Raw genomic sequence first — 23,153 nt, forward strand, 5'->3', positions numbered from 1 at the left:
AAAGGCTTGCTGATAGCGTTCACAGTGACAGCCCGAAAGTATGATTCTAAGGTTGTAAGCATTTTATATTTAGAATTTTAAGTTGTGGAATATACTTTTAAAGATAAAAATAATAAGCCAGGTCTCTTAATACTTATCTAAAGAAGTGTTTGTATAACATTTAATAAAATGTTTTATCTCAGTGGCATTTGGATTTAAAAATTATTTTGGGCTGTCACAGAATGTTGACTTTTCCTAATCTGTTACATAGGGCCATGGGTCTGGATTTCCAGGAAAGCGGAGACCTCGAGGTGCAGGACTGTCGGGGCGAGGTGGCCGAGGCAGGTCAAAGCTGAAAAGTGGAATCGGAGCTGTTGTATTGCCTGGGGTGAGGCTTGCTTCATGTATATTTTCTCTAATCTAAATGTCAGTTAATGATGAAAATCTCATAGCAAGTTATTTTGAACTTAAAAATCATATAAATAGGTCAAAATGTTTATTTTACTGTCCTACTTTGCTTTTTTTTTTTTTTTGAGCCTCTGGTTACGTTTTCTTGTATATTTACTTTCTCATCCTTTCTCTTTTCTTACCTTCCTCTTTGACTCCTTATCTTTCTATGCCAACCCTCTCTAAAAAGTCAGTATGTAATATAGTTGCTCTTTTATTTAAAAAATTTTAAGATTGATATTTGCTTACTATCATGTTACGAGGCTTTATTTATATGTGTATTACAAATATATTTGTTAACTACTAGCAAATATTTTATGTAATAACTTCGCTATTTTATTAAAATCCTGTTTTTAAAATTCTGAAATGTCATTTTAAGTATAGGAGACAGGTGAAATTGTTCAAGTTTACTACTAAACCAGGAATAAGGAAGCTTAGATTCTTGTCCTTTTTTCAAAAAGAAAAATTTTAAAACCAGGCTTATTGAGGTATAGTTGATATAAGCTATATTTGACATGTACAATTCCATAAGCTTTGATATATACATATACACCCTTGAAAACGATACCACAATCATGATAGTGAATATATTCATCTCCCAACGTTTCTTCATGTCCCTCTGTAATTTTCTGCATTCCCCCTGCCATCCGTCCTTGTCCCCAAGATTAGTTTGCATTTTCTAGAGTTGTATATAAGTGGAATCATACAGAACTGTGTGCTTTTTGGACTGATTTATTTCAGCACAATTATTTGGAGATTAATCTATGCTGTTGTACTTGTTAACAGTGTACTTCCTTTTCTTGCTGAATATTAATAAAACTGTGGATGCACCACGGTTGTAGACCTGTGCACTTTTTTTCTTCTTTTTTTTTTTTTTTTTTTTTCTGAGACAGGTTCTCGTTCTAATTCCTGGCTGGAGTGCAGTGGTGCGATCATAGCTAACTCCAGCTTTGACCTCCCACCTCTGTCTCACAAGTAGCTGGGACCATAGCTGTGTGCCAACACACCCAACTACTTTTTTAAAATTTTTAATAGAGACAGCATCTCACTATGTTGTCCAGGCTGGTCTCGAACATCTGAGCTCAAGCAATTTTCCCACCTTGGCTTCCCAAAATGCTGGGATTACAGGCGTGAGTCACCATGCCCCAGCCTGTAGTCTTAATTTCTTGTAATGTCTTCATCTGGTTTTGGTATCAGCATAACTCCAGCTTCATAGAATGAATCAGAAAGTATATTCTCATCTTCAGTTTTCTGGAAAAGTTGTGTAGTAGTGGAAATGTATCTTCTTATATTATACATGAATTTATTAGTGAAACCATCTTGGCCTGAAATTTTCTTTGTGGGGGGTTTTTGTTGTGTTTTCTTTTTTTTTTTCTTTCTTTTGAGATGGAGTTTCGCTCTTGTTGCCTAGGCTGGAGTGCAATGGCACAATCTCAGCTCATGCAACCACTGCCTCCCAGGTTCAAGTGATTCCCCTGCCTCAGCCCCCTGGATAGCTGGGATTACATGTGCCTGCCACCATGCCTGGCTAATTTTTTTTTTTTTTTTTTTTGTATTTTTAGTAGAGACAGTTTTTCACCATGTTGGCCAGGCTGGTCTCGAACTCCTGACCTCATGTGATCCACCTGCCTTGGCCTCCCAAAGTGTTGGGATTACAGGCATGAGCCACCATGCCCAGGCTGGAGTGCAGTGGCGTGATCTCTGCTCACTACAGCCTCCACCTCCCAGGTTCAAGCAATTCTCCTGCCTCAGCCTTCTGAGTAGCTGGGATTACTGGCATGCACCAACATGCCTAGCTAATTTTTGTGTTTTGGGTAGAGATGGGGTTTCGCCATGTTGGCCAGGCTGGTCTCGAACTCCTGACCTCAGGTGATCCATCTCCCAAAGTGCTAGGATTATGGGATGAGCCACTGGTGCCCAGCCTGTGGGACAGTTTTTAACAACAAATTTTATTTCTTTAATAGGTACCTATTTAGGTTATCTGTCTCTCCTTGCATAAATTTGCACCTTTCAAGAAATTTGTTCATTTTGTCTATCTTGACAAATTAAAGGAATGGAGTTGATCATAATGTTTCTTATTATTTTAATACCTGTAGAATCTGTAGTGATTTCACCTTCCTCATTCTTGATACTAATAATTTGTATCTTGTCTTATTTTTTTCCTGATCAGTCTGGCTAGAGATTTATCAATCTTATTGATCTTCTTGAGTCAGCCTTTGTTTTCATGGACTTTTCTCTATTTTCTTTCCCCTTTCTGTTTTATTGATTTATATTCTCATCTTTATTTTTTCCTATCTTCTCACTTTGAGTTTAGTTTGATCTTCTTTTTTTGTTTACTCTTACGTGTCCCTGCTTGGAAGGGACACTTGTGAAGTTTAGGTCAGAGCTTTCTATTCTCCTTGGCTTATATCTGTGGTCTAGGAAAATGAAATTTCTATCACCTTCTGGATAAATCACACTATTATCTATGCAGGCAACAATAGCACATATTTTCTCAAAGATTACCTTTGCCCTCAAGTTAGGTTTTATTTTTCTAGCAGTCTAAAGGTCATGAAATAAATTATAAAATAAAAACAGTGGGTCTTCAAGCTAGAGGATACTGTTTTCTTTCTTGCATGGACAATTATTTTAAAATATTTTGGTTTTTCTGCACTTATTATTTAAATATGACTCCCCACCCCCACTTGAATCTAGGGACATTGTAGTTTTCTACTGCAGACTTTGTTTCTGGTTTATACTGGGAATATATTGTTTATCATTTTCAGTGAAAGCATCCACTGGTTAAATTTCCTTTTAAAAATAATAATGGATCTTTACAATTTCTTTGAGCTGCTCAGTGTGTATAATGTGTTGAATTTTCTGTTAGTGGTTGGGAGGTAGAAATAGATACTTTATCTCTATTTTAGCCATTTCCATAATTATATATCTCAATAACCTTGTCAATGCATCATTAGTCCTATGACTGAATTAATGATTACTTTTAGTAGTCACTTAGTTTCTTACTGGTGATGATGATTCTACTTTTGTGAATCATCTTGGATGATTCTCTAAAATCTTAGAAAGCTAATTTTGTTAATGCTATGCATACAACACATCAATACATTTTCTCTATTAAAAAAATTAAAGCGTTATAGGTAGATCAGAATTTACCATTACTAACTCCTCAAGTCCTCCTTATTTCCCTGTTACCAGTTTGGTATATTTATATATTAGGTTGATCCATATGAAATTGCCAATATTATTTCTGAACTGATGAAAAGCAGCAATTTCTTATGATTCAACCTATTATATGTGCCCATAGACTACATATAATGACTTTGCATGTTTTTATATTATAGTGCTATACCTCAAATACTGTTCTGCAATTTATTTTTTCATCAACAACGTCTTTTGATAATTTCTTTCATGGCAGTCTATACAAGTTTCTACCTCCCTACTTTTAAAATGTTGCGTAATTTTCTAATGTTTGGATTTGTCATGGCTTTACTTACTCCCTAATGATGAATATTGGCATTATTAACACTTGTAGTCATTAGGGTTCATATGAATATAAATTGCTCTTATAAAGCATTAGTACTATCCATTAAAACTGCTTTTAGGCTGGGCACGGTGGCTCATGCCTGTAATCCCAGCACTTCGGGAGGCCGAGGTGGGTGGATCGTGAGGTCTGGAGATCGAGACCATCCTGGCTAACATGGTGAAGCCCCATCTCTACTAAAAATACAAAAAATTAGCTGGGCATGGTGGCAGGCGCCTGTAGTCCCAGCTACTCGGGAGGCTGAGGCAGGAGAATGCCGTGAAGACAGAGCTTGCAGTGAGCTGAGATTGTGCCACTGCACTCCAGCCTGGGTGACATAGCGAGACTCCATCTCAAAAACAAACAAACAAAAAAACAAACAAACAAAAAAAACTGCTTTTAAATGTATTTGTATTGAAAAATACTGAGATATAGTCCTTCTATTTAGTTAACCAACCAACCTTCCTTCCTTCCTCTTTTTTTTTTTTTTTTTTTTTGAGACAGGGTCTCCCTCTGTCACCCAGGCTGGAGTGCAGTGGCGTAATCTTGGCTCACTGTAACCTCTGCCTCCTGGGTTCAAGTGATTCTCCTGCCTCAGCCTCCTGAGTAGCTGAGACTACAGGCGTGTGCCACCACGCTCGGCTGTTTTTTGTATTTTTGGTAGAGACAGGATTTCACCATGTTGCCCAGGCTGGTCTCGAACTCCTGAGCTCAAGCGATCCACACACTTTAGCCTCTCAAAGTGCTAAGATTATAGGCATGAGCCACCACACCCAGCTGGTTAATCTTTCAGTTGTTCCTCAAGAAAAGTAATTCAGTCGTTTTATGTTTTGACCTTGAACATAACCTGTTGTGTTTCAACTCTGTCTTTCCAGGCTTCGGTTGTAAGCTTTTTAAAGAAAGAGGATTGTATTTTATGATTTTGGCAGTGCCCTCCTTGTCTTCTTCTACAACTTCTAGTTCAGAGCTTTATTTTGTTTCATATCACTCTAGAAATTATTAACAAACCAGTGGCTACTTAGTTGATTTAGTCAAATAGAACTAAGTCCAGACTGAACAATATTGGTTGATAATCATTTGGCTGATACTGAAATTTGGATGTTATTCAAAATAATATTCTAAAGCGGTGCTAATAGAAATATAATGAGAACCACATATGCAATTTAAAACTTCCTAGTAGCCACATTAAAAAGTTACAGTGAGCTGGGTGCAGTGGATCATTTGAGGTCAGGAGTTAAGAGACCAGCCTGACCAATATGGTGAAACCCCGTCTCTACTAAAAATACAGAAATTAGCTGGGCATGGTGGTGGACAACTGTAATCCCAGCTACTTGGGAGGCTGAGTCAGGGAGAACAGCTTGAACCAGGAGGCAGAGGTTGCAACGAGCCGAGATCGCGCCATTACACTCCAGCCTGGTCAACAAGAGTGAAACTCCTCTCGAAACAAAATAAAGGTTATAGTGAACAGGCGAAATTAATTTTAATGCCTTCCATTTTGACCGATATATCTAAAATATTACCATTTCAACATGTAATATGTAATTATGTGCTGTATTTTATGTTTGCAGGACATCTCAGTTCAGACTAACTACATTGCAGATCCCAAGTGTGTGTCATTAAAATAGTGATAGATTTGTGGTGTACATACCTATAATATTATCATTTATAGTTTCTTGATTAGAATTCTGCATAATCAAGTCTTACTAAGACAGGTTTATTATATTTTCTCATTACCTCTTGGTCTAAAGGAATTCTACCTCTAAAGAGAGAATGAGTTGAATAATAAAATGTCATGACTCCATTTTGCTGTAGTATCTTAGCATTAATATTTGGAATTGTTATTCTAGACCTTAGCAAAAATATATGTTTTGATTATGAATTTTCTGAAGCTTTCCAGTTAAGTGTAAAACAAGTGAAAAATATAACTTCGTATTTTGTGTATTTTGCTTTTTATAGGTGTCTACTGCAGATATTTCATCAAATAAGGATGATGAAGAAAACTCTGTGCTCGATATGGTTGTGTTGTTTTCTAGCAGTGACAAATTCACTTTGAATCAGGTTTGAACTTGACAATTTACTGTCTTCCTCATTGAATTCCTCCTTGCACATTTCTGCTTTATCTCATATACACAGAAGTGATCCAATATTTAGCTATAGAGCTATATTAGTTAAGAAGGTATTTTTAAAGTAAAATTTGTAGGTTTTTAGCTTAGTCTCCATTTAAAATATGTTCTGTTTTCTTAACTTCAGGATACATGTGTAGTTTGTGGCAGTTTTGGCCAAGGAGCAGAAGGAAGATTACTTGCCTGTTCTCAGTGTGGTCAGTGTTACCATCCATACTGTGTCAGTATTAAGGTAAACATCCTTAAACTGAGTTAACAAATATGTATTGAATTTTTATTTGGTTTTAGTAGTAACATGAGCTCCCAGTTCTCACAATTAAGTATTATGATTATTAAACATATGTGACAGTATTTAAGTACTTTAAATACTGCTTTTAAGGGTTTCCTATCTCAAGAAATTTGCTCCTCTATAAATCTTATATTGTACTAATATCCTGCTTTTGTCTTGAAAAAGTAAAACATAAAAATATATGCATTTAATTTAAAAGACAATTTATACTATTCACAAAGATTTTAGGTTTAGCTGATTCATTTTGTCTGTTGACTTATAAAGCTGAGAACTGGAGTATTTAGTAAAAAATTATTATCCCATTCTGTTCTTTCCCACATTCTGTCTCCTCTGTGCTCACTCATATACAAAATGACATTTTCTCCTTATAGCCAAAAGAAAGAAAACAAGTGTCATATTTAATGCAATCGGTAATAATCGAGAGTCAGCACTGCTCACTTTCAAGCATTTCAGGATAGAGGCTTTCTGGGGAACCTTTTAAGTGGTATCGTGTGCTTGGTTTTAAATATGGACAGGTCTCAATACTTCACTAGTTGTATCTAAGGTTCTTGGTTTTTTCTTTTTAAGAACTCAGTCTTAATAAAACTTACATATTTGAATAAAGTGTCATGGCCACTGGAAGCAAGCATGGAGGTATAGCTGTACAGCAGAGGTCTTAAACTGTATACTCCACAAGGAAATCTTTTCTAGTATTGCCATACCATGTAATATAAATACTAACCTCAGTTTCAATAATAGGTTGTGAACCATGAGTGATTTTTATGCCATTCTCCCCTGCCCTTCAGACATCACTGTGTTATATCATTGTCAGTAAAATGTCAGTATAGTAAGCAAATCAACATTATCTCCTTCAGAATTCTTTGTTGATAACTACACTAGTATTTATTTTATAGGGTAATACAGGTTTTTGTGAATTTAGGAATCAAAATGAAAGATTGTAATTAATACTATCCAAAATAGAAGACTAGTACGGTTAATTTCTGTAGTTTTTTAAAATTAGTTGCTCATGCTATGTGACTGAAAAACACAGAGTATATAAAGCCAATTAAAAATGGAGTTATATATGCATAAAACATGTTTCTTTTCTTCTTTGTACTTTATATTCTGTATAAAAGTAGCTGCTATCATTAGATTTTGTTTTTTAGAATGCTTAATGTTTTGGACCTAAGGAAATTGAATAAGATCCCTTTCAAGATAGTAATGTATTTCTTTTAACCCATCCAACAATTACCGAATTCCCATTTTACAGATGAGTACGACTTACATAAGTTAAGATTGGACAATTAGTGCACTATCAGACACCTAGTTATTCCTGTTTTTAAAAATTATGTGTGGTTCCTTTTACATGACACTGTTTTGGACAGTATAGAATACTGCAGTCTCATTGAGAAATACAGCAGTATCTAGAAATATACTAGGGATATATGAATTGGCTCAGCTTGCATTTTTATTGCAGGAGGCAATTGTTTGTGGATAAGTTTGATACCTTTGAAGCTTCTTTTTAAGCTTGCTGGGGCAAGTCTAGAAAGCCTTCACTCTAAGGTGGATATTTTCAAACTTTATGGTTTTAGAACCTTAACACTCTTTAAAATTACTGGGGACGCCATAGTTTTTGTTCATGAGGATTTTAACTATGGACTATTCAGCATTTTAGAAATTAAAACTAGGAACATTTTGTAACACAAGACTACAGAAGCACAACCTGTACAATGTCAATGTAATATTATGATACAACATGTAGCTTCTATAAACACCACTGTATAATTGTGAATAAATTAAAGTGAAAAAAGGCAAATTAAATCTTAGTATTATTTAAACTTGTTTTAACTTTACAGACCCACTGGGGTTCCCTAGTCCACATTTTGGTAGCTGCAGTCCTAGCATTAGTTTAACCCTATACTTAAGACTTGGCCTTTCTGGGATCACTACTGAATTCTACCCCCTGTTCACCAGTGTCTTTGTACTCTGACTGGTTGTGCTTCACTTGTCTTTGAGCCTTTTGCAAGCTCTGGTAATTGTGCAGCTTACACATTCCCAGTAGATGTACTTTCCCCTGGTTGTGGGTCTTTGGGCTTCTAGAAGTACGGCTTGGTGTTCCACCAAAGACTTCAGGGGATCCTTTGTAGATTTCTGGAGCTCTTAGTCCTTATTGCTTCTTCATTTTGAGTACTGTGTCCTGCAAATTCCACTGCCTCGCCTCCCCTAACCTCAGCGAGGCCATTGATTGTACTCTGCTGAGGTTCTCCCTCCCTGGGCAGCATTCTGGAAAATGTTTCTAGGCAGAATATCATAGGACTCCCTGAGTGTTTCCTTCCTCTCAGAGACCACTGTCTCCTTTACTATGTGTTGTCCAATATCTGAAAACAGTTGTTTCATACACTTTGTCCAATTTTCTACTATCTTATGGGAAAACAGGCTGGTCCCATATACTCCATTATCGTTGAAGCATGTATCCGTATTAGATTATAAAACATATCTGTAACAACTTTGGACATGGTACCATGGATGGAATCCTGGATGACATCTTATTTGAAAAAACTTTTAAAACTAAGGCTAAACTGGTTCAATGGAAGAAAAAAATGATAGTACAACCCCAGTACCTAAGTTAAAAGGAAATTTCAAAGACAGAGAAATTGTTGAAGTGTTGAAGTACTAGAAGTCAAGAAACACAAACACTAATGTTTCCATTAGATTTGAGAATAAGAAGGTCTTGACAAGCCTGGCTTAAGCAGTTATGAGTGGATGTGGGTGTAGAGACCAGACTGTAGTGTTTTGAAGAGTGAATATAAGCGGAGAAACTTGAGAGTTTGGTTGTAAAAGGGACCACAGGTATCTGTGAAGAAAACTTAGTAGGAATGAAGATAAATATTTTAAAAATTCTGCCACTAAACACCTCAGATCTGTCTGCCACTTTGTCTTCAGGTCATTGTTTAAGCCAGGGTCAGGCAGACTGGCCCATAGACTAAATCTGGCCCATTTCCTGTGTTTGCAAATAAACTTTTATTGAAATATGGCCAAGTTCTTTTGTTTACATATATTTGTAGCGGTTTTTGCATTACACTGGCAGAGTTTTTATAAAGTTGCAACAGATCATATGGCCCTCAAAACTTTCTGTTTACTCTCTGGCCCTTTATTGGAAATGTTTGCTGGCTACTGCTCTAAGCCACCCTGATCTTACCCCAGGCCATTTCCTTCATTTGGGCAAATAATATACTAACTTGGTAATCTAAGACAAATTCTTAAAAATCAATAAGCTAATCAAAATAATAAATATACATGTTTAAAAATCAAATGACATTAAAAGCCTCGTAATGGGCCAGGTGTGGTGCCTCACACCTGTCATCCCAGCACTTTGGGAGGCCGAGGTGGGTGGATCACTTGAGGGCAGGAGTTCAAGCCAGCCTGGCCAACACAGTAAAACCCCATCTCTACTAAAAATACAAAAATTAGCCGAGTGTGGTGGCTCATTCCTCTAGTCCTAGCTACTCAGGAGGCTGAGCCAGGAGAATTATTTGAACATGGGAGCCGGAGGTTGCAGTGAGCTGAGATCACACCACTGCACTCCAGCCCAGGCAACAGAGCAAGACTCCATCTCAAAAAAAAAAAAAAAAAAAAAGGCCTTGTAATGAGCAACCAACTCTTGTCTTACTCTACGTCCACATCTGAGGGAATCACTTTTAATCTTTTCAGGTCTTTTTTCTTGTGGTTAATGCTATAGCTCTAAATAATCAACTGGTTTACTGCTTTATCAATGCTAGATTTTGTTGACTTTCTGCTGTGAATAAATAAATTCTGATTTAGGTCTTAAAATACACCTCCTTCCTTCTCCCAATATAGTTGTATTACTATGTTTAGTTCAATTAATAAGGTGTTGGTTATGACTCAGTAAATGTTCACTGCAGATCTAAACAGTATACTATGAGTTTCTTTTGTCTTTCATGGAGTTTTTAATAACAAGAAAGTAATAGTGACTCTCCATTCGTACTTTGTTTTTGCCTACTATAGAACTATCATATAAGATTATTTTTTAAAGTACTGTTTTTTTCTGGGAGAAGTCCTACCCTCTTTCTAGACATTCCCTTCTCCTGCTCTGATATGTGCCAGTGGCTTCTGGGTGTGTTGTTCTCATCCTTAAACTTCCCTGGCCTGATGTCCTTTGTCGGATCTGTTGATTTATAGATCCCAAGTCTTCCTTTTCTTTGTAATACATCCTCATTCTGTTCTGCATATCTCTAAGTAACTTTATTAGAAGGAGAATGAAGGAGCTGAATTTTGAGTCTTCCTGTGTCTACAACGTATTCTGTCTTCACACATAGTTGCTTGTGTAGCTAGGTTGAGAATTGTACTTTGAAAAGTATTTTCCTGTAGAATTGGAAGATTATACTCTTCTAGCATCTGGAGTTGGGAAGTTTTGTGCCATTCTGATGGGTGTTCCTTTGAATTTAACTCTTTTATTTTCTTCTCTGGTAGCTTTTAGGCTTTCTTGTACCTCATGATCTGAATTTTTATTCTGTACCCTCATTACTTGCTGTTTCATTATAATGTGGGCACTTGATTGGTTCTGTCTGAGGATCCTAGTCTTTTGAGATCTTTAAGAAGTTCCGCAATCTTAATATTACATGGTGTGGCTTCCTTCAGGAGTTTGTTAGGGATTTGGAAATTCCCAAATATTCTGCTAACTTATACCCTTGAGAGAGGGGAGAATAAACAGAGGAGTGAATGTGAACTTCAGAATTCCTAGCTTCATAGTCTAAATAGAAATCTTCTAAGATCATAAAATGTCCCTAAGAACTCATGCTTTACATTATTTTTTTTGGTATTTTTTCTATTGATTCTAAGCATGGAAATGTAGATGGAGATTTTGTTGATGTATTTTCAAATTATGTATCAATAATAGTGAAGCTTACTTGATTTCTTTAAAATCTGGTCACTATATCTATAAATACAGTGGACATTAAATGTACAGCATAAGGTAATTATGTGGACTTTAAAAAGGCATTAAAATATGTGCCATTTTCTATTATTCTGCTCAGTAGCCTCCTAAAAGCGTGTATGAACATGCCCAACCCAGTATTGGGCCTCCGTAGGCGCTCAATAAATGTTAGTTGATTGCCCCTTTCTGCTTCTAGGTACATAAGCACCATATTAATTTATATAGTATATTTGATTATGTTAGGTTAATGCATAAATCACATGGATTGGTTGTTTCTTTTACAGATCACTAAAGTGGTTCTTAGCAAAGGTTGGAGGTGTCTTGAGTGCACTGTGTGTGAGGCCTGTGGGAAGGCAACTGACCCAGGAAGATTCCTGCTGTGTGATGATTGTGACATAAGTTATCACACCTACTGCCTAGACCCTCCATTGCAGACAGTTCCCAAAGGAGACTGGAAGTGCAAATGGTTCTCTAGGGTTTGTTTGCCTTGTTAGTCTTTCAAGTTCAGAGCTTTCTCATACCACTTTAGTTTTTAAAAATTAGCCATACCTATTTAATTGAATAATACACATATTCTATGATAGATACCACTAATCAGAAAAATTTTCACATACACATTAAATCATTTGCCCCATTATGTTCGTATGTAGCTTCCTGAATTACAGTAACTGAATAACTAAGAAAATAAAATTGAGACTTTTCGGGGGGATTTGGATTTCAGGTGTGTTTGGTGCAGACACTGTGGAGCAACATCTGCAGGTCTAAGATGTGAATGGCAGAACAATTACACACAGTGCGCTCCTTGTGCAAGTTTATCTTCCTGTCCAGTCTGCTATTGAAACTATAGAGAAGAAGATCTTATTCTGCAATGAAGACAATGTGATAGGTATTGTGCTATTTTTTCATCTTTTTAAAGCTTTTCTCTTTGAAATGTAGCAAAAAAAAAAAAAAAGGAAAATAGCTTTTCCTTAATCACAAGTTTTAGGTACAGAGCTTTTTGCCTTGTAGATTTTTAGTCACCTAGAAACTTACAGAATTGATTTCCTGTTTTGAACTCTCAACTCCAGACTAAAGTTTTGTTTTGTTTTGTTTTGTTTTGTTTTGTTTTTAAATTTACAGACAGAGTCTTGCTCTGTCGCCAGGCTGGAGTGCATCGGCGCTATCTCGGCTCACTGCAAACTCCACCTCCGCCTCCTGGGTTCAAGCGATTCTCCTGCCTCAGCCTCCGGAGTAGCAGGGACTACAGGTGCATGCCACCACGCCCAGCTAATTTTTGTATTTTTAGTAGAGACAGGGTTTCACCATGTTGGCCAGGATGGTCTCCATCTTTTGACCTTGTGATCCACCCGCCTCAGCCTCCCAAAGTTTTATGATTATAGGTGTGAGCCACTGTGTCCACCCAAGACTGAAGATTTTTAATTTAGGCCTTTTTGAGGGTTTAGGAATCCCTTGAAATTAGATGGAGAATTATTGCCTTCATCTATGCTGTTTCTTATGAAGGGTTTCTGAATCTTTTAATAGATTATAAAAAATATCTAACACTTTCTGTTCTCCTTAAACCACTTTCTCTTAAAGCTCTAGATACTAGATATCTAGGTATTAGATAGCACCTTCTGCCCTCCCTACGTAATTATGTGGAATTTCAAAATCAAGAATGTTTCCTTGCTTTCATTGGTATATTGTTGTACTCTTTAGAAGTTAAGCAGTGAACATATATTGATAGTATTATTTTATCAGTAGTACAGTATTCTTGGGACTCTGGCTACTAATTATCTGTTCCATTGCAAGACAACTTTTTACTTTATTTCCCAATTACCATTCAACATCGCTTTCCATGATATATGTCTACTTCAAGTTAGATGCATTGCCTGGAGCCCATATATGCTAGCACTGCCATTTGCCGTTTTCTGAATACCTTTGTGTTTGCCCTAACTAGCTTCCTTGCTGTCTTTGAAATATTTAATATATGATGATAAAATAATTAGCTTCCTTATGTAATGTGCTTTGCTTCCTCTCTAATAGTTGTTCTCATTCCTTTTTATTTCCTCCTTAGCTCTATGAAAGTTTTTCTGTTAATAGGGATAGTTAGGAGAAAAGGGCAAGGTAGGAGGAGCATGTGAGGCTTAGGGCTTTTAAGTTTGATGACTCAGTGTTACAGGTTTTAAAAGGTAGCAGTTCTCAGTATATTCCATTTTTTTAAAAAAATGTACAAATATGGTCTTTTTAGATGGATGCATGCAGTTCGTCAGAACTTAAATACTGAGGAAGAAGTGGAAAATGTAGCAGACATTGGTTTTGATTGTAACATGTGCAGACCCTATATGCCTGCGTCTAATGGTAAGAGAATAATTTAAACTGTGAGTCTGCACTCTTGTACCACTCACTTGCACCTTACTGTCCATAACCAATGAATTAGCTTAGCTCTACTCTATTTTGTCTTTGTGAAACTTACTTTGACAAGTATTTTATGAAAAATATTATTGTTGGTTATACATGACTTATCACAACTTGTTATAAAACAATTTACATGAAACAATAAAAAGCATATACTTTAGATGTAAACTATAATTTTGCTTCCAAGGAACATGATCTTGTAGTTATTGACAATATGTTAAAATCCAATGTGTTGATTCTTTCTTAGCCAGGTTTTCCTCCATGACTTGAGTATTTCCTTCATCACTTCTTGTTTTGTTGTTGCTTTAAAAAGTGCTTTTAACTTTAGTGTTCAAACATTTATTTTAATAAAATGAGTATAGAAACAGAAATTTTAATCATATGTAAGTATGTAAATACACTCTACCTTTTCTGAAAAGAATTACCTGGATTTTTTTTTTTTTCATTTCAGTGCCTTCCTCAGACTGCTGTGGATCTTCACTTGTAGCACAAATTGTCACAAAAGTAAAAGAGCTAGTTAAAATTTGAAATGCTTTACTTAATTTAATTAATTTACTTTGCTTAATTTTTACATAATTGGCTTACCACTTGTAAAATCTGCTTCAATCATATGGGTGTTCTATCCAAATTCTGTAATGTTGGTAATCATTTCCACAATGATATATAAAATGTCATCCAGCTTTACTGGGGCAGTATTCCTATAAATTTCAGCAAGTTGGCAACAAAAATAACAGCTCTTAGAATAACCATTAATGCCATACTTGCTTTGGTTTCATTGATATATTACTGTGCTTAATTATCAGTTAGCAGAAAATACGGCCTAGTTAGCAAGCAGATTTCTTTTAGAATTAATTCAATCTCTTAATTTTTTAAAATAATTAATAAGCCTAGTATGGTGATTAATATGATATTCTTATTAAACAGTCATTCTTTTGAATACTTGTATTTAATAGCACCTGATACAAAAACATTTGGATAGTACAGAAATTGTTCTAAGGAACAACAGTTTTGTACATTTAAAATTAAATCTGCAGGATTTGTACTTATTTATTACTTCTCCCTATTAGTAATTATGTTGATACTCTGATTTTTCCAGATGAGCTTCTGGAGTATTCTCTCTTCTCTTGTGTAAATAGATCCCTGCCTTTTGATCTTTTCCAGGAAAAAGCTCATAGTGGATTAGCTGAGCATTGCATATATTTGCAGTGCTTCTAACTCTTTTTATTGGGACATGAACATAAAAATGCCAGGAAGACTTTTTTGAGACGGAGTCTCACCCTGTTGCCCAGGCTGGAGTGCAGTGGCACGATCTCGGCTCACTGCAACCTCCGCCTCCCGGGTTCAAGCGATTCTCCTGCCTCAGCCTCACGCACAGCTGGGATTACAGGTGCCCGCCACCACGCCGGGCTAATTTTTTGTATTTTTAGAAGAGACAGGGTTTCACTGTGTTTGCCAGGATGGTCTCGATCTCCTGACCTCGTGATCTGCCTGCCGCCTCGGCCTCCCAGAGTGCTGGGATTACAGGCATGAGCCCCCACAACGGGCCCAGGAAGACCATTTTTTAAAAACATGTAACATTTCTGCCTATAATCCAAGGAAGTTTGACCTATTGTTCCTAGTTTTTATTGGGTATCATGAAATTAATTATTCATGCATTTCATAGATACGTAATTACTTTCTAGAACTACAGTCACATTCCCTTGACATGGGTATTTTGGAACAGTAATCAGTCAAATTTAAAATGAAAGTTTAAATTTGTATTCTTGGGATTTTGTAATTTTAGACCCACCCAAGACTTATACCCAGGATGGTGTGTGTTTGACTGAATCAGGGAAGACTCAGTTACAGAGCCTCACAGTTACAGTTCCAAGAAGAAAACTGTCAAAACCAAAACTGAAATTGAAGATTATAAATCAGAATAGCGTGGCCGTCCTTCAGACCCCTCCAGACATCCAATCAGAACATTCAAGGGATGGTGATATGGATGATAGTCGAGGTAATACTAATTTATTTTCCGTGAAATATGTGTGCAAGAATTACAGCATATAAAGTAACTTTTGAAATATGTGTATGGTTTACCAAAGGGTAAATCACACTGACTTAGATAACCCCGATGTGACCCTTGCCATCTCCAAATGAGTGATCTTCTTAGACCTTGCCTTTTCGGGTTCTCTTCCTTTCACACATTTTAGAACAGACCTACCTTACAGAAATCTCAAGGAGCACCATATCTTTGAAGATCACAGGTGGGGAAATACAGAGGTCTTGACTTTAGTTTGCTAGATAACGACACAAACCTTCTCAGATACTGTGAGCTTGGATAATACCATGTTTAAGTTAAGGTAGTTGAGGCATACATTCTAGAAATGGAAAAGCTGTCATTTAATATTACTTCAGGTATAACTTCATATTCACCAGTGTGCATCATAAAGTATTGGTTTATAAACATTTTCTTAATCAAAGTAAATATAAGGTTTTTCTAGCTGAATTCTTTTTTTTTTTTTTTTTTTTTTTTTGGTTGGGAGACAGGGTCTTGCTCTGTTGCCCAGGTTAGAGTGCAGTGGCATGATCTTGGCTTACTACAACCTCTGCCTACTGGGTTCATGCGACCCTCCTACCTCAGCCTCCTGAGTAGCTGGGACCATGGATGTGGGCCCCCACGCCTGGCTAATTTTTGTATTTTTTTGTAGAGATGGGGTTTTGCCATTTTGCCAAGAGTGGTCTTGAACTCCTGGGCTCAAGCCATCTGCTCTGCTCAGCCTGCTGAATTCTTGAGATAGCAAAATATTTTAATAGTAACCTAAAATCCAATATGAATTAAAGAGGATTACTGTAGGTTTCCTCATTTTTGGGGCAGTTATTTATTTTCAACTGATTCAGAAGTGAAGTGATAATTATTTCTGTTCCATTACATTTTATTTCATAGCTTTTTTTTTTTTTTTTTTTTTTTAAGGGGCAGTGTCTTGTTACATTGCCCAGGCTGGTTTCCAACTCCTGGGCTCAAGTGATCCTCCTGCCTCAGCCTCTCAAGTAGCAGGTACTATAGGCATGCGCCACTGCAGCCGGCTTTTAGACAATAGAATTTATTGAATACCTACTGTATGTCAGATGTTGGAAATCATACCAGTGTACAAAGCAGGTAGAATTCTCTGCATAGAGTTTATATTTTAATGTTAGGTAACTCAACTCTTAAAAAAAATCAGTTAATTATAATGTGTTTGGCAAGTTCCATGGTAAAAATAAAGTTTGATAAAGAGGAATTGCCTGGCCAGGCACAGTGGCTTATGCCTGTAATCTCAGCACTTTGGGAGGCCGAGGTAGGTAGATCACTTGAGGTCAGGAGTTCGAGACCAGACTGGCCAACATGGTGAAACCCGTTCTCTGCTAAAAATACAAAAATTAGCCGGGCTCAGTGGCATGCACCTCTAATCCCAGCTACTTAGGAGGCCAAGGCAGGAGAATTGCTTGAACCTGGGAGGCGGAGGTTACAGTGAGCCGAGATTGCACCACTGCACTCCAGCGTGGGTAACAGAGCAAGACTCCGTCTCCAAAAAAAAAAAAAAAAAAAAAAAAGGAATTGGAAGTACAGACAGGTGTTTAGGGTCCATATGAACAGAAAGCAGTATTTGAGCACAGATTTTAAAGAGGTGAGTGAGTGAGCCACTTGATTACCTGAGAGAAGAGCACCCCAGACAGTGAAGAAGCCAGTGTAAAGGCTCTGGGTGAGAGTGTGCTGAGCATGTTTGAAGAGTGTTGTGGAGACCAACAGAGTGAGCAGAGGGGACAGTCAGAAGGTGAGAAGATTAGAGATGTGAGGACAAGAAGGACGGCTCAGTATATCTCACACAACCATAAGGTGATGTGTCAGTAGTTTGTGCTTAATAGCAATGGAATGGGAGGCCATTGAATGTTCCTGAAAAGAAGAACACCATGATCTTATTTATATTTTAAGAGGAACACTCTCCTATGATATAAGTAGATGATTAGGTGCAAGAGTTATGACAGGTAGATCAGTGAGAAACAATGGTCCAGGTGAGAGGTAATTGTGGCTTTGAAAAGGTATGTCTTTTGTGGCCGGGCTCGGTGGCTCATGCCTGTAATCCCAGCACTTTGGGAGGCCAAGGCGGGTGGATCACCTGAGGTCAGGAGATCAAGACCATCCTGGCCAACATGGTGAAACCTCGTCTTTACTAAAAATACAAAAATTAGCTGGGCGTGGTGGCAGGCACCTGTAATCCCAGCTATTTGGGAGGCAGAGGCAGAGGATTGCTTGAACCCAGGAGGCAGAGGTTGCAGTGAGCCAAGATCGAGCCACTGCACTCCAGCCTGGTGACAGAGTGAGACTCCATCTCAAAAAATAAATAAATACATGAAAAGATATGTCTTTTGTATGTTCTTGATAATTTTTGTTTTGTAGTGTGTTTTGGGTCTATGTTGCTGGGAGAAACACTTTCTGATGCTTGTATGTAACTGATTTTCAGATACAGTTGAACAGGTAATTTGATTTGGGGGCTTGGAGTTTGCAAAGAAGTAGTCCATATACTTGGAGGAATTGATCAGATCAGCATTAACAAGAATTTCCATTTCTGAGGATGTTAAAAAATGTCTGAAAAAGGTTTCCATAGTCTCTTAAATTTGGGAAGTGCTCCATTTCACAAAATATGAAAGGTTTCTTGATAATAGTACACATTGTTTCCCAAATTATGTGATTATAATACCTTTTAAAAACAACACAGAAGATCTTGGAAGGTTTTCCTTGTGACTTACCACTTGTAAACACTGAGAAATGGTGATATGTTTCAATTTCATATTTTCTCATTGACTCGTATCATGGTAAAAGAAAATCAGTTGAAAAATTACCCTTGCTTTTTTAAAATTTACGTGATAAAATAGCCCATCTGAATTTACTGAATTTGTCTTTATTTTTATTGAATATGAAAAAAGATTGTTTAGTGTGTTAGATGTTAAATGCTAAGACAATTTTAGAATTTAAGGAATTGAATATACAGTATTTTCATGACTAGTCCCTCACGTTCCTTTACATGCCAGGATCTCACATCCTTTGCAGAAGGAAAGGTACATTCCTAGGGATAAAATAAATGCATGTTACTTGGACAACATTTTTGCTTTCTGTTTGCTAAATAAAAATCCTTTTTAAAAATTTAGTATTGCCAAACTTTGCCATATTAAAAATGTTCTAGATTACTATATTATCCTGAAACTACATGTACACACACACCACTAAAATAAGTTTTATGGTATTTCATATGCCTGTACGGGAGAAAAAATAGGAAAAGAATACAATCATCATAAGTTCTTATTATTACATTATGCTGAGATTTCTAATAACGCTGCCCTTTTCTGGGTATTTTGTATTAAACCTAAAATTTGTGATGTTTTAGACTGTTTCACTAACATGTTTTGATAACGTCTCAGTACCCTTGGGAAAGCATTATAAAGTAGTGGGCAATGATGAAACCTACTCTGGATGTTTTTAGGCAAATTTTTTAACTTCTCTGATTCTAGTGTTCTCTTTTATAAAATAGGTGAACCAGGATGAGCCCATAGGATAGTTGTGCTGATGAGGTGCAAGGATGCATGCCAGGCACCCAGCACTGGCTCTTCCCAGACATGGAGTGCTCAGTAATCGTGAGCTATTAGAATACAGGTGCCCAACCAGTGCTTGAGCAATTGTGTTCTGTGTCCAACAGAACTCAACAGAATCCCACGTTTGTCTTTATATGTGAATTCAGTTCCTTTTGAGTTAGTAAGAAATTTTGCCTGTGTTGGGGTAATTGAACTTTCAGGAGGAGGGAATTGTCTGCCACAATTATTCTCTGAACTTAATGTTTCCATGTCTTTTTCTTCATTTTGGAAGTTGTGGAAAAATTATAATGAAAGAGTATATAAACGTTTTCCTCTGTATTATAGTGTATCTGACAGTTTCCTTTATTAAAAAGTACGATACATTAGGGAGAGACTTAATGAATTTAAAATTAAAGTTTGAAAAGTGTTATTGACTATAAGTGATCTTCAGCTGTGCAGTTTTCAACTTGAGGTTGTCAGAATGTAATATTACACATTATATTACACACATCTACAGAATCCAAATTGTGATGTTCCTGGAGTATTGGAACAATACCTATGACTTTTTGTTTCTATTGATTTTTAACTCTTCTAATAACCACTTCTTTAAGAAAAGTCATACATCATCACTTTGGTGTATCAGAAACAAATTCCTTATGCAATAAAAGCATACTTCTTTCTCATTCACCTACTGGGATCTAGAAACCCTGTTAATGCAAGAAAAAATCCCAAACCTCAATAAAATAACACTCTGTTTGTCTGAAGAGTGGAAACACAACACATTTCCTCTCAACTGGTGGTCCCAGATCGACCATCACAGTGTATGGATGTGTTTGGAGGTGTGGGAATAGGACTGCTCTGAGGCTCTAGAAGGCCAGCAGGTTGGGCAGACTGAATGGAGGGAGGGGACTGGCATTCAGTAACTACTGGAGCGTGGGAAGAGTGAGGTAGACTGTCCATCTGGTGAAGGTGGCTGCTTCCTTGAGGTTTGTTACTTTCTGTAATGTTAATTCCCTCAACTTTTAAAATTTGATTTTTAGACAAGTTATACATTCAAATGATTTAAAATTGGAAAATAATAAAAAGGTAAACAGTGAAGTCTCTCCCTTTCCCCTGCCTTCATGCCCCCAGTTTGCATCTCCAGAAACCTCAGAGGTTTCTCGTGTAACTTTCCAGATGTGTTTTATGCATGTACAAGGAAATGTGTGTTTATATATATATATAGTGTGTGTGTGTGTGTGTATATATATTTTGTTCCTTTTGTCTTACTACTTTTTACTGTCCTTCATTTTTTTATGGCTGCAAATATTCCTTTGTATGGAAATATAAGCAATTTAATTTACCTGTTCTTTCCCCTGTTGATAGACCTTTGGGTTTCTTTCAATCTTTTTTTTTTTTTTTTTTTTTTTTTTTTTGAGACAGAGTCTCACTCTGTCACCCAGGCTGGAGTGCAGTGGCATGATCTTCGCTCACTGCAAGCTCCGCCTCCTGGGTTCACGCCATTCTCCTGCCTCAGCCTCCCGAGTAGCTGGGACTACAGGCACCCGCCACCACGCCCGGCTAATTTTTTTGTATTTTTAGTAGAGACGGGGTTTCACCATGTTAGTCAGGATGGTCTCGATCTCCTGACCTCGTGATCTGCCCGCCTCGGCCTCCCAAAGTGCTGGGATTACAGGCGTGAGCCACCACTCCCGGCGTTCTTTCAATCTTTTACTGTGAATAGTACAATGAATCACCTGGTATATTTATAATGTTGTAGGTAAGTGGGCCTGCAAAGGTGAATTCCATGCTAAATCCAAAGACATAATGCATTTGAAACTGTTTTTGGCAGGTAGGATACAGTTTTTTGTTTTTTTCTTCATTTATTTTTATTATACATATCTGAGGTATACAACATGCTTTGTATACATAGTGAAATGATTACTATGGTCAAACAAATGTCTGTATCCTTCACCTTCCATAGTTACTCTCTGTGTATGTACACCTAAAATCTCTTTCAGCAAATTTTCAGTACACAATATTATTAACTATGGTTCTCATGCTGTGTATTAATTTGATCTCTAGAATTATTCATCTTACCTAACTGCAGATTTGTACCCTCCGACCTACTTCTGCCCATCCCACCCATCCCCTACCTCCAGACTCTTGATAACCACCATTCTACTCTCTATACATTCAGCTTCTCACCCCCCGGCCTCCCATTCTGCTTCTTAAGTGAGATCATACAGTATTTTTCTGTGTCTGGCTTACTTTATTTAGCATACTTTCCTCCCGGTTCATCCATGTTGTCACAAATGGCAGTATCTCCTTTCTTAAAGCTAACTATTCCATTGTATAAAGTCCTCATTGTCATCAGTAAGTTCTTAGAAACTGTGGTTAAGAGGGGAAAAAAAGTATGACAAAACTGATTTTTTTTTTCATTTTGCATTATGCCAAAATTAGATTGAAGGAAACAGTGTTACTTGAGGACCTGCTGTATGTTCATTTAGCTTAACGTCTCAGTTCCCAAGAACCTATTGATGACATTAAGGGAGGACTTAATATATGTATAAACAAATGTCACAATTTCTTTATCCATTCATCTGTCCTTGAATGGGTAAGTAAATTGTCCATTAGGACACTTAGTTTGTTTCCATGTCTTGGCTATTGGGAGTAATGCCGCCATGAACGTGGGAATCCAGATGTCTCTCTCAGATGCTGATTTTATTACCTTTGAATATATGCCCAACAGAGGCATTGTTGGATCTTATGGTAGTTGTATTTTTTTTAAGGAAACTCTATACTGTTTTCAATAATGGCTATACTAATTTACATTCCTATCAACCATGTACAAAGGTTTCATTTTCTACACATCCTCACCAACACTTATGTCTTTGCCTTTTTGTTAATAGTCATTCTAAGAGACACGAGATGATATCTATTGTGGTTTTAATTTTCATTTTCCTCATGATTATGATATTGAGCATCTTTTCATATACCATTTGACCATTTGTGTGACTTTGGAAAAATGGCTATTCAGGTCCTTGCCTATTTTAAAATCCAGTTATTTGGGGATTTTTTTTTTTGCTACTGAGTTGTGTGAGTTCCTTATATGTTTTGGATTTTAACCCCTTATCAGATGTGTGGTTTGCCAATATTTTCCCCTAATCCCTGTGCTACCTTTTTACCCCATTTTTTTTTATTGCTATGCAGAAGCTTATTTGCTTGATGTGGTCCCACTTGCTTATTTTTGCTTTTGCTGCCTGAGCTTTTGGTGTGATATCCAAAAAATCATTGTCAAGGAGGATATTAAGGAGTTTTTCTCCTATATTTCCTTCTAGGAGTTTTATGGTTTCAGGTGTTAGGTATTTAATCTATTTGAGTTGCTTTTTATGTATGATGTGTAAGATAGGCATCAGGTCCAGTTTCATTCTTTTGCATATAGATATCTAGTTTTCTTACCACTACTTATTGAAGACACCATCTTTTCCCTATTGTATCTTATTGGACTTGTCAAAAATCAGCTCATAATATATGTTTGGGTTTATTTTTGGGCTCTGTATTCAGTTCCATTGATCCATGTGTCTGCTTTTATGCCAGTACCATACGTTTTGATAACTATCACTTTGTAATATAAGTTGAAATCAGGTAGTGTGATACCTTCTACTTTGTTTTTCTTTCTCAAGATTCTTTTGGCTATTCAGGGTCTTTTATGATTTAATACAAATTTTAGAATTGTGTTTTCTATTTTTGTAAAAAATGCCTTTGGAAATTTGATAGGGATTGCATTGAATCTGTAGATCACTTTGGATAGTATGGACATTTTAACAATATTCTTCCAATCCACAAACTTGGGGATATCGTTATATTTATTTGTGTCTGTAAGTTTTTTCTGTTTTTTGAGAC

At 36.7% G+C, this 23,153-nt stretch overlaps 1 pseudogene across 1 annotated transcript in view, besides 1 other annotated feature; it reads left to right on the forward strand.

Moving 5' to 3' along the window:
* KMT2CP1 (lysine methyltransferase 2C pseudogene 1) overlaps positions 1–23,153 on the forward strand; it is a 26,056-nt pseudogene continuing 2,903 nt past the window's right edge. Inside the window, exons 1-9 of the transcript NR_136328.1 lie at positions 1–51; positions 251–367; positions 5,900–6,001; positions 6,194–6,298; positions 12,010–12,174; positions 12,408–12,534; positions 13,516–13,625; positions 14,134–14,186; positions 15,466–15,678. The product of NR_136328.1 is annotated as a lysine methyltransferase 2C pseudogene 1 (transcript). The remainder of the gene's footprint in view (positions 52–250; positions 368–5,899; positions 6,002–6,193; positions 6,299–12,009; positions 12,175–12,407; positions 12,535–13,515; positions 13,626–14,133; positions 14,187–15,465; positions 15,679–23,153) is intronic.
* Positions 8,919–9,420: an enhancer, noted in NCBI's record as "NANOG hESC enhancer chr1:148884967-148885468 (GRCh37/hg19 assembly coordinates)". NCBI's record gives its function as "activates a minimal SCP1, AML or CMV promoter by ChIP-STARR-seq in primed H9 embryonic stem cells {active_cell/tissue: H9 hESC(primed)}" and the evidence as "EXISTENCE:reporter gene assay evidence [ECO:0000049][PMID:30033119]".

Source organism: Homo sapiens, chromosome 1, assembly GCF_000001405.40.
Source record: "Homo sapiens chromosome 1, GRCh38.p14 Primary Assembly".
Taxonomy (NCBI): domain Eukaryota; kingdom Metazoa; phylum Chordata; class Mammalia; order Primates; family Hominidae; genus Homo; species Homo sapiens.